Source organism: Homo sapiens, chromosome 9 (assembly GCF_000001405.40).
Source record: "Homo sapiens chromosome 9, GRCh38.p14 Primary Assembly".
Lineage (NCBI taxonomy): Eukaryota > Metazoa > Chordata > Mammalia > Primates > Hominidae > Homo > Homo sapiens.
In genome coordinates, this window is record NC_000009.12 from 18,469,718 (window position 1) to 18,485,675 (window position 15,958).

Below are 15,958 nucleotides of genomic sequence, written 5' to 3' on the forward strand. Positions count from 1 at the left end.
CATGGTTACAAGAAAAACCTCATTGCTCTGTAGCCATTTTTACAAGCAGACAGAGCAAAGTGTAGTAGCTTCTGCCTCACTTCCTCCTTCCGAATTTTTGTAGTACTTCAGAGTGGCTAGTTCTCAATTCCATCCAGTACCCTAGCTGCAAGGGAGTCTAGAAAATGTTGTTTCTGGACTTCAGGCACTGGTTGGGATGAAGGACTGCTAACCCATCATTAAAAACATCTATGTGAAGTTAATAAATGTACCTACCCCATAGAGTTGTTGTAAGGATTACGTGAAATAATAAATATAAAATACTTAGAAAAGTGCCTACACATGGGAGACTCTCAGTGTATGTAGCTATTTTCATCTGTCAGCGTCTCAGATGGTAGTCCTGGGGAAAGTCAAACAGCCTTTGATAGAGCCCCAAATTTCCTGCCTGCTAATAACTTTGATGAACCCATTTTCTACGTAGGAGGACTGGTTTCCTCATCTGCAAATTGGGGATAATAATCACTCTCTAACTCCTAGAGTTTCTGTTCATATCACATTAGATCATGTGTGAAAGGTGATTTGAAAACTATAATGAATGCTCTAATGGCTTTGGTGTTAAATAGATACTAGGTGAGTTGGCAAGTTGTGGAGTAATGCTCAAATTTCAGTTCTGCCCCTGAGAATAGCAGTCTGCTTCCTATACTTTTATCTTAGTCGCCCTTACTTTATTTTTCAGAATTAACCAGGGAAATCGAACTTCACTGCATCCCTGTGGGGAAAACAAGGCTCAGATGCTGCCATAACCACTTCCTTAAAGAGGGGAGATTAGGCCCTGCCTAGCTCTTGAAATCCTCCCAGCCCTGAGTTCTTTCCAGGAGACCCTGTGTCCCCTATACACTGGTTTCTGCAGCTGACGGGCTAAGCAGAGAGGCTCAACCTGAAGAAAGAGACAGGTGGCTCCAGAGCAAGACTTGTAACGAATTCTCCCCAGGGAGAGAAATACCGAAAGTTTAGCTCACTCTTTCCTCCCATAAAGCACACTGAATGTTAACAGCTTGCTTCTGTCCAAGCTGGTGTCTTTTCAATTAAGTATTGTTAAATCCATACCATTTGGAATGATGCTTCAGACAGCCCTGACACTCTCTCTCTCTTGCTTCTGATTTCATTTCACCTAATATGTTGTGCATGGAGCCAGTAACCAGTATTATTCAGCTGCCACGGCTTCTGCTAGTGCTGCTGCTCACACACTTGCAGACGGTTTTAATTTAGATACCTGAAGAGGAAAAAAGGAATTTGGCCAACGCCCTGCTCAGATGCCGTAAGTGGCCTTTCCCCGGTTGCCATTAATATGGATCTAGATTACCTAAAGTTTTACATTACTTTTCCTAGGTGCTGAAAACGTTTTAGAAATGAGAAAGTCAAGACACATAGAAGCTGGAGGCTAAAATAAGATACTTTCCATCGTCAGGTAACATATACCCATGGTAAACCCTGGTAGCCTACTTTCCTTTTCCTATAAACATCCCCCTTCAACAACATCACTGCCAACATCTGAATATATGTATGTGTATACATCATATATAGATATAATGCATATATATGAATATGAGATGAGGGTGGATTTAGATTCGGTAAACCGTGGCTCAATGGCCAGTTCTAGCCAGCAAAGCTTTAGTCAAGTCACTTAACTTCTCTGAGCCTCAGTTTCCACGTACATAAAATGGGGTGATTACTTAATTTCAAAAAGTAGTCACAAAGGTCAAATGAGATCATAAATGTAAAATCACTTTGTAAACCATAAAGATGGCATGTACATTTTGGCCATCATCAAAATTAGTTCATGACCAAAACTTTTCCCAGTCACCTTAACCCAACTTGATTTTGTTCTCCCTTTTCTGAAGTTATAGTAAATTTGTAATTTCACCTGTACTGTGTAGCTCTGGATGTGCAATTGCTTTTCCTAGTTTCTCTGGGTATTCCCAAGAGGAAAGAAAATGCTGTGAGGAATCAGAAGCATGAGACAGTGTGGTGGGCATCCTCCAGGCATTCAACAGGTGATTGAGGGCTTAACTTTAAAATAGTATATTATTCGGTGACTTCATTGAGATGACCATCTTGCTGTACATTAGCATGCCCATTAAAACTTCAAGGCAGAAATTTCTGACTCAAAATACCTAGGCAGTATTTATTTGCAAAGCAGAAAAGAATCTAAACTAGCATGTAAGTGGTTCCCAGTTATTTTCTGACCATGCTGATTATTTTTCTGTTCCTCTACAAATAGTATCTCATCATTAGCTTTGTTGCTACTTTTCTTTCTCCCATTACCTATTCTTCCCTTTGGATCTGCTTAATGAGCAGGGTTTATGTGTGAAGAGGGAGGAGGTGGTATTAGGTAAAATGTTCCATTAATAGAACTAGCTGAAACTCTTCAGTTAATGACTGTGATAGGAGGGAAAAAAATAAACCCTTTAGCAGAAAGCTCTGGTGTGTAACAGAGAGACACATGTAACATAGCTTTATGAATGAAAGTTTATTTCAATCAATCACCTTTCTTTAATGTGATGAGGATTTCAGACAAAAACAATAGTGGAAAGACAAAGTTAAGCATTTTTACATCTACTTGTGAATACGCTTTAGCTTATGAGCATTAGCTAGTTTTTGAGAGATTTGTAAAACAAATCTTTCTAAAAGGGAAAAGCATATTTCAAGAATGGGCTCTCTTTGTTATGGATTTGTACTGTCCATTTTTCTAGGTCCACATACTTAATATTGAGAACAAAGGATAATCTTTGTATGACCTTGACTTTCCTAACAGCATGAAAATAGGATTTTTAAAGTTTCTCTCTCTTTAATTGATATACCATATGAAGTAGGTAACCTAAAGTTGAACAACCTGCTTTTCTTCACCTTTTTGAAAAGCAACGCAGCAGGTATGTACATAGGCAGACCTGCCTGTATTCACATGCCCATTATGGCTTGATCAGGTTTTCCATATTCGTGTGTTTCATACCTCTTGTCAGTATTTTTTAATAATGAAAGGAAAGAACATTAATTCTAAATGTCTTGTACCTCCACTGCATATATTTCTGGGCTATCAGGAGATCTGAAAAGGGAAAACGTCCTGATGACACACCTATGGCAATGTAAGGCCAGGGCTGCTCTTTTATTCTTTCAAAACTCAATGATTTCCTTTGCAGATAAGGGGAAATACATCCTTGTTTGACATTTGACACTTTTCTAAAACTGTAATAAAACCTTCCTCTAGTAGAGTCAAATCTCCCTTGCTGGTGGATTAAGCAGCTTCAGAAGCTTCCTGACCTTCTCGTTGCTGTTGCTGGCCTTGTCGTCATTTCACTGCTCATTAGCACTTCCTTCAGGGCTGGACTGGCCTCCAAGGTCATCCCATCCAACCCTCTTGCAATAGTGGATGGAAAAATGAGGTAAAACTCAGTTCAGCCTTTTCTGCATTATAACAGCTCTGATAAAGGACGTGGGTGAGGTGCGGAGGAAGCTGAAACTTGGTTAAAAGAAGGTTTGGGGATTAACTGAGGATTTAATTCATCCTTTCTTTCTCTCCCGTGGCTAAAATAGATAGTTGAGAGTTGGCAGTGCATCAAAACCAGGCTGCTCCTCAACCCCAAATTTCAGCCCCACTCATCCTGGAGTCTTTGTTGAGGGTTTCTTTTTAAACTGGGGGATCTAAGTTTCTAATTGTGCCTTTACAATTAGCAAATCTTAAATGCCTTCAATTGTCACTTTACAGAGAAGCAACTTGCTTTGTTTTTTTCCCCCCAAATTAAGTCCTTAATAACACAAAATAACTTATGCCACTGTTTAGGCTTAGTGAGGAACCTTCAGAAAATGTATAGAGTATTTATTTTGCAAGTCAAGAGAGAAAGTAAAGAGGAACTTTATGGAGGCGAAATAAAACAGTTGTACAGAACACATTTACAGGGCACATTAAGTCGGTTTTTGTCTATGGTTCTTTCCCTTTATGGCATATGTTATATATTGACAGGGATTAAGTTTCTCTCCTGAATGGAACAATACACAGTCACAGGGAGCTACTGTACTTTACAAAGCAACAGACATCAGCACAGGCAAATGGCAAATAGAAATGCATCTCACAAAGAACTAACCAGGTCCATGGGAAGCACAGTGCTTGGCTTCATCTTTTGCAATTCTGCATCTTTTGCATTTCCCTTCTCGCTCTGCTGCTCGCTCGCCTTTCTTTTTCGTCCTTTTCCCCCTTTTTTGCTCGCACCGTTACACTTTCTCTGTCCTCCTGGCTTTGTTATTCAGCATGTCTGATTAGCAGGAGCCTGATTGGCTGGCTGCCTGCTCCGAGAGAGATTCCATTCAGCTTACCCCCCACCCATCCACCCACCCACCCCTCGGTCAGGAAATGTGAGAGGGGCTGATGGAAGCTGATAGGCAGGACTGGAGTGTTAGCACCAGTACTGGATGTGACAGCAGGCAGAGGAGCACTTAGCAGCTTATTCAGTGTCCGATTCTGATTCCGGCAAGGATCCAAGCATGGAATGCTGCCGTCGGGCAACTCCTGGCACACTGCTCCTCTTTCTGGCTTTCCTGCTCCTGGTAAATGCCTTTTCATTTCAATGCATTGCTATTGCCATTGAGTCTGGGTGCTGTTGGGGGTGTGTGTGTGTATGTGTGTTTGTGTGTGTGTGTGTGTCTTTATCTTAAAACTCCAGGTAAAATAATTTACACGATTACAAAGAGAGAATACTCCTTCTAGAACTTTTAACCTCAACTTCCCAAGCAAGATAAAGTCTGCAAGACTTTCTGGAATTAGTTACTGCTATACAGTAATACTGATACTGAGACATGAACTTTGGGACATACTGCATGGAGTTTGGGAGCTGAGGACTGTATATATGGTGGTGTGTATGCTTGGAATTTGGATAACAGACATCCTGAAATTAAACTCACTCACTGTGGTGTTCCTGGAATTTTTTGATGGATAGGCTTTGCAGAGCTTGCCCGTACCGCCTTTAATGAATTACTTTCCATCTATGCACATGTACTATGGAACCAGGTAAAGAGGGGAATGAGAGCCTCTTTGCAGCCAACCCAGATTATGGCTCTTAATTACTGCAAGTCATTTATGGATAGAAGTTAATGCTAGGATTTATGAATTGAGGATTATGGCCTTTGATCTCAAATTTACTTTTAAAGAAGAAAAAGGAATGGTGACTTTTAGTACGGCTGATTGCCACAGTCATAGTGATAAGATGCTCTGCTCTTGAACGTCAGTACACATTGCATTTTTGACTCGAAGTAAATGTTCCGTTGTGACTCATACTTGGTTTTATGGGCAGAAAATGAACATTTACTGTCCAAAATAAATCTACACTCAAAATATTAATAGCAATGCACATTTTTTAAACCAGAGTGTTCTGGGCAGGCAGCTTAGTAAACCTCATCTGAAGGTTTGATTCCAAAATTTGCACACACTGATCCAAACAAATGTGATTGTAGTTTTTCCTGTCACATTTATAACATGCCAGAACTTCCTCAGAAGGTAACAAGGCAGGAAGAGAACAAGGTAAAAATGTAGCAAATGAATAGGTTGCATTGATTCCTTGATGGGGAAGGAATGTTTGTTCTGATTATATTCTGACAAATCTGATCTGCGCTATAATTTTGAAGTAGGGAAGAAAGCCATTTGGTACAAACTGAAAAAGTCCAGGAGATTCATCAAATAGAGTAATCAGACAGTGATTCAATATTTTATACATTCCCACTTCTTAATGATTTGCATCATTGTAGCTAAGAAATTATAATGCTGCATTGCAAGTGCTATAAATATAGAAATAAATTTTTAATTTTTCATAGAAATTTAAAGGTAAACTACATTTCAAGCATGAATGAACTATAAGTTTTAGCTGTTCTGAAAAATACAAAGAACAGAATGTTTAGGTATGCTTTATGACTTGTGGAGCAAGCGATTTATGAAAGGTGTCTCATTTTTTCCATATGGGATGTGTTACTTGTATACACCATTAGTTTGTCTCATCTTTCCTTCTTTGTGATTTTTTTAAGTGTGTGTTATTTTCCCATTATATTGCATCATAAAGCAAATTACCAGTATACATTACTTTTTTGATATTTTCATATGGAAGTATGATCTCATTATACTTTAGTAAAACTTTCCCATTCAGGAATAGATTGTTTTGCTATCCATTTGGTAAACGCATTATATCCCTCTGTGATATCTTGAATATTCATATATGTATTAGAGCATATAATTTGACTTATGTGGAATGAAAAGGTATGTATGCTTATTTCAGAAGGACTTAAAACATATCATATTTAAATTACAATAATTGTATTATAAAGATAAAATTAAAACAAACCTAGGTTTGTTTTATGCCTGCATTTAAATTAAGTGGAAATCTGAGAGTTATGCTACAAAAGGAAGAACTGACTGATGTTTACATACATCCCTTTGCCAAGCAATAACAGCATTAGTAATAGCTGTCATGTATTTTGTGTCTGAATGTGGCTAGTTGTTTGAAAATCATTACAATAAATCCTTACAATAATCATACAGATAAGACATTTTAAACCCGTTTTTTCAGGCAATGAAATAAGCTTGCATTTGAACCCAAAGGTCAAATAATGGAGAGAATAGAACATGTTTGCTTCGTATGGTGGTTGTAAATATTTAAGAACAATGAAAACAGTGGTGCAGGTTGGTCTGTACCCTTTGTTGCAGATATTTAGGCTTTCTGCATCATCTTGATCATTAAAGATATGTACAATATCATGAGCACTTGTTAAACTTGCTCATTAACTGCCCCCTTTAGCATTAAATTTAATTATTGGCTTAAGAGATTGTGACCTTTAGCCTGTTGTGTACTTGATTTAGAACTAGAAGTGTGGCATCATCAGCTCAACCTTCAAACTTGATAGAGAAATTGAATTGAGGGGCTTGTTTTTCCTATAGTCTTTTTTTTGTTTTTGTTTTCATTTACACATTGCAAGGATTCTGTCTATTCTTGGACTTATTTGGGGCAATTTCTAAAGGTCTCTGTAACTTAATTGGAAAACATCCTGTCTATTTTGTGGCAAGCCCAGTTTCTACCTTATTAAAATATCCCTCATTTCACTGACAGCTGAATCATCTGTATCATGACTAGGTTCTTGAGTGTGTACAAATATTGAAGGTTGTTCAGCCTTCATTCTGTCAAAATCCTTTCCCCTTGGAACTTATTTCTGAGAGGATGGGTGTTGAATCTATTTTACGTTACCACCCATATTTTCATGCACAGAACTTATATCATAAATTTATATTCTGGACACAGTAGGACAGTAGTACTGATCAAGAGATTTCATTTGATATTCAGGTGAAATTAAGCTACATAATGCCATTTTCTCAATCCTCCCATTCTGCTTTCTCGTATTTATTCTCTCTCCTTTGTCCCAATTGTTTAGCTCAAAAAGAATGTGGCAAAAACCATGACCGGCCATTGACATATGTGTCCATCTACACTTGAAGTCAAATCACTTCTTGTCAGAAAGGCATTTAATCAAATTTGCATTTGCCTTTTGTTTCTTTTAAACGGTTTTAAGCTCTTTTGCCTGCTATTGTGAGAGTTGCAAGAGTAACACTAGGAATTATAATAAAGTACATGTGTTTTCCTGTTGAATTTCTTTTTCTTCTCTGTACTAATTTATACATGGCAACTAGTCAAACACAATAGCCCATTCCCTTCAGTCCCTCTGGCACTCTCTCCCACTATTATCTAAGTGGATCTATCTTGGATGGGGAGAAGCACCCTTAGCTTGTGGAATGAATGTTAAGTCCCTTATTTACAGGAGACCGCGGCCTGTTCCAGCAGCATGTATGTCAGTGTGTTCATGTGCATGCACAAGCACTTTTCTATAATTGTTCACTCTACACAGATTTCTTTTTCTCAGACCTAGATTGTCTTTAAATCAAGCTTGAAGACTTTTCGCATAGATCTACAGAACGCTATGAAGCATTTAAAATTTAAAAATCACTTTCTTCATGTTTTTGTGAAGTTTCTTGTCTAGACATGGCCAGCTACATTTTTGTTTACTCAGGCTCCTGTTTTTAGTGTTTCAGTGTGTTCAGGACCACTTTCTGGCCCCCATTATTATTTTCACATAACACCATTTCTGTTGCTTCATATAAGTTGAGGGAAGAGTGTCCAATAGTGGTCACTAGTGAACTACAGAAGAATCTTGTTACACCAGGAAAGTTTTTCCTTGAAAAAGCATATGGAAATTGAAGTCTTTTGAGAGACAAAGAGAATGAATAAATAAATGCATGTATGTATTTGTGCATTTGTATGTTTTAATACATGTTGATGCCCATTTACTATTATGTATGTATAAATTGGAAAGCAGTCTTCTAACACACCATGGAGTAGGCTATTACTCTAACTTAGGAGATTCACATCTCCTAAGTTGATTCTATCCTACTAACAATATTACAGTTAGGGTTTGCAATTTTTATCAGTTAAGTGTCGTTAACTCTATACAAGTTACTCATGTTTTTTAAAAACTTAGTTTACTTGGGCTGTATTTTGCTTGGGGATTATATTAGCATGAGACATGGTCTGGTGTTTTGGTTCTCCCCTTTATTATGGCTTACTCAGAATATAATTTTAAACTCTTCCAGGAAAAATACTGGGTCCTATGAATTTCTGCTTTTCCCGAAGCACCTAGTAGAGTGCCGTGTAGATACAGTTTGTGAACTAAATGAAGAGAAAAAATGACTTACAGAGACTATCGAAGGGTTCTTTAATTCTTCATATTTTCAGTGATTCTTAAATTCATATGTGTAGTTCTGTTTCTTTGGTCAAGTGACAGCTCTGCTTTTAATTCATGTATCTTCCAGTTTCCAGGAATGACACGCTCTCAGGTCCAGCTATGTAAGTTTAATTGTGCCCTCCTCTCAGTAAGCATATTCTACTGTTTCTGTGGTCTCATGAGTAGAGTGACCCAGAAGTGACCTCTTCGTAGCATAAGGACCGGAGCCTTTTCTTGAGTGAGAGCATTCCTTCAATCACCATGAATAACCTACTGGTTAACTGTATTGAGATAATCACAGGAAAATGTGTCTAAATCAAGTTTTACAGTCTTGTCATTGTTACTAACTTTCTTCTTTTAGAGAGCTGGCTTCAAACTTTGTGTTTTCACCAGAATGAGACAAGTGCGTGTCATTTTCTGTCTACATCATAAAAACCATACCATGTGGTTGAATTTTGGCTTGATTGGCAGTACTGGCTCATGAGCGGCTTAGGACTGGCATACCAGAGGTGATGTAAGTCCTAAAGGATCCTAATTGAAATAGGCCAGCACAGCTGTGTGGGGAGCCTGCCTGCTAACTGGGGTAAGCTGTTGCTATCAACCCCTTCTTTCCATGAGCTCAAAAATAAATGACTAAATCTCCCCAATTCCCGAACTTCAAGATTAAAACCTACATTGAATAAAGCTTAACTGTTCTGTTTTGCCTCTCAGGGACTCTGTTAACTGGAGCACCCAGCATGGAGGGCAGTTAGTTAAGTTTTCTGGCCACGTCAAGAAGATGCCCAATGGCTGTAATCTGCAGCCAACAGTGACCTCAGGCTTTTTGTTTATTGTCTTTCCCAAGAAACTCAGTATTCATAAATCCATTAAAAAGTTTTGCTGTATCCACAAGCATTCTTTATTTTGATTAGAGAAATATATTTTATCTCATGAAGTAATTGTAACCTTTATTAGGAGAAATACCATAATTTCTGTGTTCAAATAGCCCCATCCCAAATTCTACCCATATATAGCTATGTGTACAGTCAGCGCTTAGTAATTGCTTGTCAGAAGGCATAAATAATTCATTGTAATCTCTAAAATATTTTATATGTAATTTTTATAGTTCTTGGGCTACTTTGCATTTATCTGTGCCATCGCCCATCTCTTACTTATCTTACACTTCTTTCTGTCCCACAAAGCTGTGGGGGACAGCAGAAGGTGTGACTTGTTCCTCCTGCCTCTTTCAGAATGCCTGGTAATTTGATCTCAATAAACGTGGGTGAATGAATAAATAAATGGAAAAATAAGAATGACTTGGCAAGAAAAGGTGAAAACAGGGAAAAGTACAAGTAGGAAGGAAAAATGTCAGCATTCATTTTACATGTGAAGCGTTTCACTATTTCTGGTTTTGGTAAGACCAAGTCATCAACGCTAAGAAACGCAAAAGAGGTATATATTCTGTATTCCTTTCTCTGTCTTTTAAATATACGTAGCCACACACTGAACAACAATTAACCCCTTTTGCTCTTGTTAATTAGAATGAATCATTTTGGATGTTTCATATATTTTTTATCCATTTAGTTCTCAAATATTTTTCCTTTTTCAAAACTTGTCCTCAGGAAGAAAACGATACTTACATTAGTCACAGTTTTGTAAAACTTGAAGGTACTTAAAATAAACTCTCATGTTAGCAGAGACAATGCTGTGGATTCACTAAAACCTGTTTCTTCTTGCTACTGGGCACAATGATAAACTGTATTTGCCAGCCTTCCCTGTGACTGGATGGTACTATGTAATTGAGTTCTCATCAGTGAAAAATAGCTAGAAGTACTATATGGCACTTGTAGGCCTGATCCCTCAGCCTATGTGATCCTCCAAGCATCAAACACTCTCTCTTTACCCACCTGCTGGATGCAGAGAATCCACTAGAAAAAACTTCATGACTCTAAGGAATGGCAAAGCCACCAAGTGGAAGTCTAGGTCCCTGAATGACTACATGGAGCACAGCCCCTCAGTGTCACTCTCACAGACTTACACTGTGAACATTCATTTAACCATGAGCAAGAAACAAACTTTGTTGTGTGAAAACCCTGAAATTTTGGGAAAGGTGTTGTTTGTTATGCTGAAAACTTTTAAGAAATAACATATGCTTCAAATTTAGATGCTATACATGCCAGTACTTACTCATAAGTAAGTACTAATACCGTTTTCCATTTATTATATGGGAAAAGAGAACTAACAAGATGCCACATCATTCTAATGGTGGTTTGATCTTTGCGGTTTGCAATTTACTGCATACCTGAAGTGTGATAAGTAGTTGGGGGTATGTGTCAGTACTACAGGGAAAATAGGAAAATGGGTCCATTTTTAAAACATAGAATCTGGAAGTGGATGAGGGAGTGGTAGAAAATGAGGAAAGAAAACCAAAGAGGCAAGGCTGTGGTGAAACAGTTGAAATCTCCTGGGACAGAGTGGGATCAAACAGTGAGGCCAAGAACATAGAAGCACACAGATCCAAGGGGAAGGCGAATATAACAGAAAAAGATGCTGAGAAGCTGAAACCAGGGTGCAACACTGAAACTGCTCCAAGGGCAGAATGTCAGAAAATCAGAGTGAACAATTCACAGAGAGGGAACAGACTCACAAAGGCAAAGTAAACAAATGTTTTGTACAGCGATATATAAAGTAAACCACACTTCTTGAATATCCCTAGTTTCAAACAATCTTTAACACATTTTTCTTGGAGGTGTCTGAGTGCCATGAAAGAACAGTGGTTTTAGGCTGGGTGCAGTGGCTCACATCTGTAATCCCAGCACTCTGGGAGGCCGAGGAGGGTGGATCACCTGAGGTCAGGAGTTCGAGACCAGCCTGGCCAACATGGTGAAACCCCATCTCTACTAAAAATACAAAAATTAGCTGGGCATGGTGGCAGGCATCTATAATCCCAGCTACGGAGATTAAGTCACAATCTCTACAGTGAAGAGCTTGGAAGTGTGTTGGACATTTTGTTGTCAAGAGTTTTTTTTTTTTTTAATTTTTCAAAACACAACTCTTCTGTAGGCAACAGTTCTGTGATGGACATTATTATTTTCAATTTCCCCACAAGCTGGTTCATCTTGTAAATAACTCTCTGCACCTGCTTAGACGCTGTTTGTTTAATCCTTTTATCCCTGTGTAAATGTAAATTATGGCTTTCCATAGATTATGAATGTGTTATTTTCAAATTATCAATCACTATTTGACTCTGAACATGAAAAGTTATTTTTACTGTTTCTATAGTTTATAGTCTCAATTTGTGCAACAGAACACACTGGAACAATTTTTTAGTTAATATTCTTTAGGGAAAAACTATTTTCAAGATAAATGGTTATCTTTGTGAGAATTACCATTATGTGTGACCAATGTCTAGAGAGTTTTCATCTGCCCCACTATCACTGGGGAACCTGCTGCCAGATTACAATCTGTACATAGTTTCCACTACATTGTGCTTTCTTGGCAACAACCAAAATCCACGCAAAAAACAAATAGATTCCATTTGGAATTATATTTCTGTCAGTGCAATTACTATATGAGGTTGTATCTCCCATCCTCATTAGAATTATACCTAAAGTTCTTATTAAAATAAATTAATTACAATAAGACCAAGATGACCTTGTGCATCAAAAGTAGGATAGTTGAAAGAAAGGGAATAGCAGAAAAATCACGTGCATGAACATATGCCGTTTATAATACAGGAGATTTATTCCACTTCTGAGGCAAGAAATTGCCGGACTCTAATAGTTTCACCACCTGTGAATTATTTGGGTGCACCTCATAAGCGGGTTCTTTCTTCTATTTGTTTAAAGAAATAAGTGGTATGTTTGCCAATTCTACACTACATTAATTTTCACGGAGTTTCCATTTTCATCTTCATTGCTTTTTCAGATTTTTTTCCAAAGCTTCTGCCATTCTCCAGCTAAAGCTTTGGGTATTTTCCCCTTCAATTTTTGTCCAGGGACTTTCTCTAAGTCAATTCAGTTTGTTGGCATAAATGTTGGGATGAAAAGAGCGTGATAACCTAAGACATCCTGACATAAATTCCAAGAGCACTACAGAAATGAGACAGGAAATTGTGAGCAACCTATAATAAATTCAAACTGTCCAATAAAATAAATATACCTCACTTTGTTCCCATAGTAAGGTATGGTAGGGTATCTGATTTCTCAGCCTCCTTTGCTGGCTGTAATCTCAGTCACCATTTGAAGTCTGTATGAGTATTGTTAGAATATTGTACTTCATCAATACAACTAGGAATGAAAAAGATTAATGGAAACAATAAGAACTCCTACTGTTCAGGTGTGCTTAAGTGAGATTTGGTGGGAACGTTTTCAGAACTAGCCGGTTCTTTTTTTCTAGCTGTTATAACCATTTGTCACTGAGACCTAATATAATTTCCCTGATATACTACACACTTTTAGTTCTTATTTGGGGCTTGTAACTGGTCTGAGATAACAAACATGCTTTGAAATTACTGTTATGAGGTTAATTGGCATTTAAATTCCCAGCCCATAGATTCATAGAATGGTTTTAGAATTAAAGGGAACCTTTGATGCATGCGGAATGTGACCTCAGTTGACTGGTATCTCTTTGAAGGCAGGGGTTTTGTTTTATTTTGTCCTGAATATCTTTGTATCTCTAGCACCAGACAAAGAGTTTGATATAGAAAAAGTGTTTGATGTGTTTGTTTGAATAAATTAATTAGTTGCCTATTCCAGCCCTTTCATTTTGCAGATAATTTAATTTAAAATAAATGTCTGTAAAGAGATTCGAGTTATATTTATCACGAGCATCTAGTACATAGGATCCAGATACTGGAATCTTGTGCTGTTTCCTTGTGTCTGTTCTCCTTCTATTGAGTTCATTCTCCTGTATTATACTGTGTGGCCCCTTTAGGACCTTTAAATAACAGCCATCATGCTGGCTTTGGTAGAGAGGGATTGAAATGTTGAAATGTCACATGCGGAAGAAACCAAGGATCGAATGAAGCTGCTGCAAAACAATCTTGAGTTAAAACTCAAAGATCGGCGTGGCGCGCTGGCTCACACCTGTAATCCCAGCACTTTGGGAGTCCAAGGCAGGTGGATCAGGAGGTCAGGAGATCGAGACCATCCTCGCTAACACGGTGAAACCCTATCTCTACTAAAAATACAAAAAATTACCCGGGCATGGTGGCGGGTGCCTGTAGTCCCAGCTACTCGGGATGCTGAGGCAGGAGAATGGCGTGAACCTGGGAGGCGGAGCTTGCAGTGAGCCGAGATTGTGCCACTGCACTCCAGCCTGGGCGACAGAGCAAGACTCTGTCTCTGAAAAAAACAAAAACAAAACAAAACAAAAAACTCAAAGATCATTGTTGGCTTATAAATATCAGGGTGACCTGGCAAGAACAGAGAACTAAAATCTGTAAAATACGGCTCTTCCCTAGAGTTATGTCATACCAATAAGCCTCATTTATCTTGTTTCCCTATTAATGAAAAATGTGGATAATTTGGTGATGTATGTGTGAAAATAACTTCATATGGGATCTTGCATGTAGCACGTCTCTGAGAAGTGCTAGCTTTCTTTCCTCCCTCAGTGCAAAATAGCATCTTCATTGAGAGCCTGCTATATATCAGGCACTGTGCTAGGTACTGGCTATGCTATATTGAACAAAACAGACATGGTCCTAAAGATGAGTCCTTCTACATAGAATGTCGGTAAGGATTTGGCACAGGGGTGAGGAAGACAGGAATTAATTGGTCAGTACTTTCCAGTGGTTTTATGTTGCTGTCATGATATTATTTTCTTTAAACTGTATATTTAACTATTGCTGATGTAACGGGGTTTCTGCCTAAAGAAATAGACACATTAATTCATTATTTATAGTGATTCAAGAAAGAATGTGTTAGAAAAACTCTAAATCTCTAAAGATTTATATTTAAGGTCATTTCTTTGACTTTTGCTTCTTTTTCCTGAAATCCTCTTTTTTAGGAATACTGAAACCTAAGCTTAATGGGTGTATTACTTTGTCTCTGTGTTTATTTGATACATAAACACCTGTCTTTTCAATCTAGAGCTATGCTAAAGTAGTAAAACCTTTAAACCAGTCCCTCTTTCAGGCAAATAAAAGGCCAGTCAGCTGCATATAGAAGGCTAATGACAGTAGGTTTTCCCACAAAAGGTTTGCTAACTTCAGTTTGCTGGTGCTGGGACTTTTATTAAGCAGGACTGTCTTGGCTGCAGGCTCCAGGATTTTGATTTTAAGAAACTCGATCAGTGGGTTTTGCCCATTTGAGAGTTCTAGATGATTTAAAGCAGTGATTCTCAGACTTTTGGATTTCATAGACTATTAAAATTTCAGAAAAAAAATAAGGCTGGTTGGCAGGTAGGTAGGAGTTACGGAAAGTAGAGACAAGTTTCTAATTTTTTGTATTGTTAACTAAGGACGCTAATAAAATAAATTTCTCTCACCATAGTTTCATCAATGAAATAACATTAGTTAATACTCAAGAGAGTACTTGCTTCAATGTAAGAAGCACTTTACATATACTGCATTAAATTATCTAATTCTCATAAGAACCCTATGGATGGAGCCATGACAATTTTCCATCTTGACAAGGAAACTGAGGCACAGAGAGGTTATGTAACATGCCTAAGATCACTCAGTCGGTAGGGGAAGAGTACAGATTCGAACCGAGGCAGAGTTCATTCATGTCTCAACTCTCCGGTTTTCTTTTACCAGTACAAGAAATTAAAGGTCATTTGAAAAAGCCAAAAGTCCCAGGTACATGATTTCAGAAGAAAAAAAATAACTAAACACATTTAGCCTTATGGAAAGCTAACCAATGTCCTTATTCTCTTTATTCTATGTGTCAACACATACTTTGTCATGGATTGGCCTGCTGTCTGCCAGTCACTTTCCTTGAAACACAAAGATAAACAAGACAGTCTTACTCCCCAGGAAGCTCACAGGCACCAAAGTTTTTAAAAAATAATAGACCGAGGCAGAGCAGAGGATATGAGTTTCTGTAGTAGCACAAAGAAGAAAACAAAGAATGGGAGGGATGCTGGCATTTTTCTGTCTGATGTGTCCCAGGCACTGTCCTAGTAGAGAATAACTCAATGGAAGTTCATCAGGCAGATAAGAGAGGGAAGAGGGGGCATTGCCAGCAGAGGG

The 15,958-nt window shown here is 38.1% G+C and overlaps 1 protein-coding gene across 16 annotated transcripts in view; it reads left to right on the top strand.

Annotated features, from left to right (window-relative positions):
• ADAMTSL1 (ADAMTS like 1) overlaps nt 1–15,958 on the top strand; it is a 1,004,318-nt gene that overhangs the window by 563,085 nt on the left and 425,275 nt on the right. For 5 of the 16 annotated variants that reach the window (NM_001040272.6, XM_047424073.1, XM_047424078.1 and 2 more), the window contains exon 1: nt 4,436–4,578. The exons of the other annotated variants lie outside the window; for them this stretch is intronic. In NM_001040272.6, coding sequence (NP_001035362.3) covers nt 4,516–4,578 — 63 coding nt within the window. In that variant the 5' untranslated portion in view covers nt 4,436–4,515. Of the gene's footprint in view, nt 1–4,435; nt 4,579–15,958 lie in introns of those variants that run through there. 16 annotated transcript variants of the gene reach the window in all.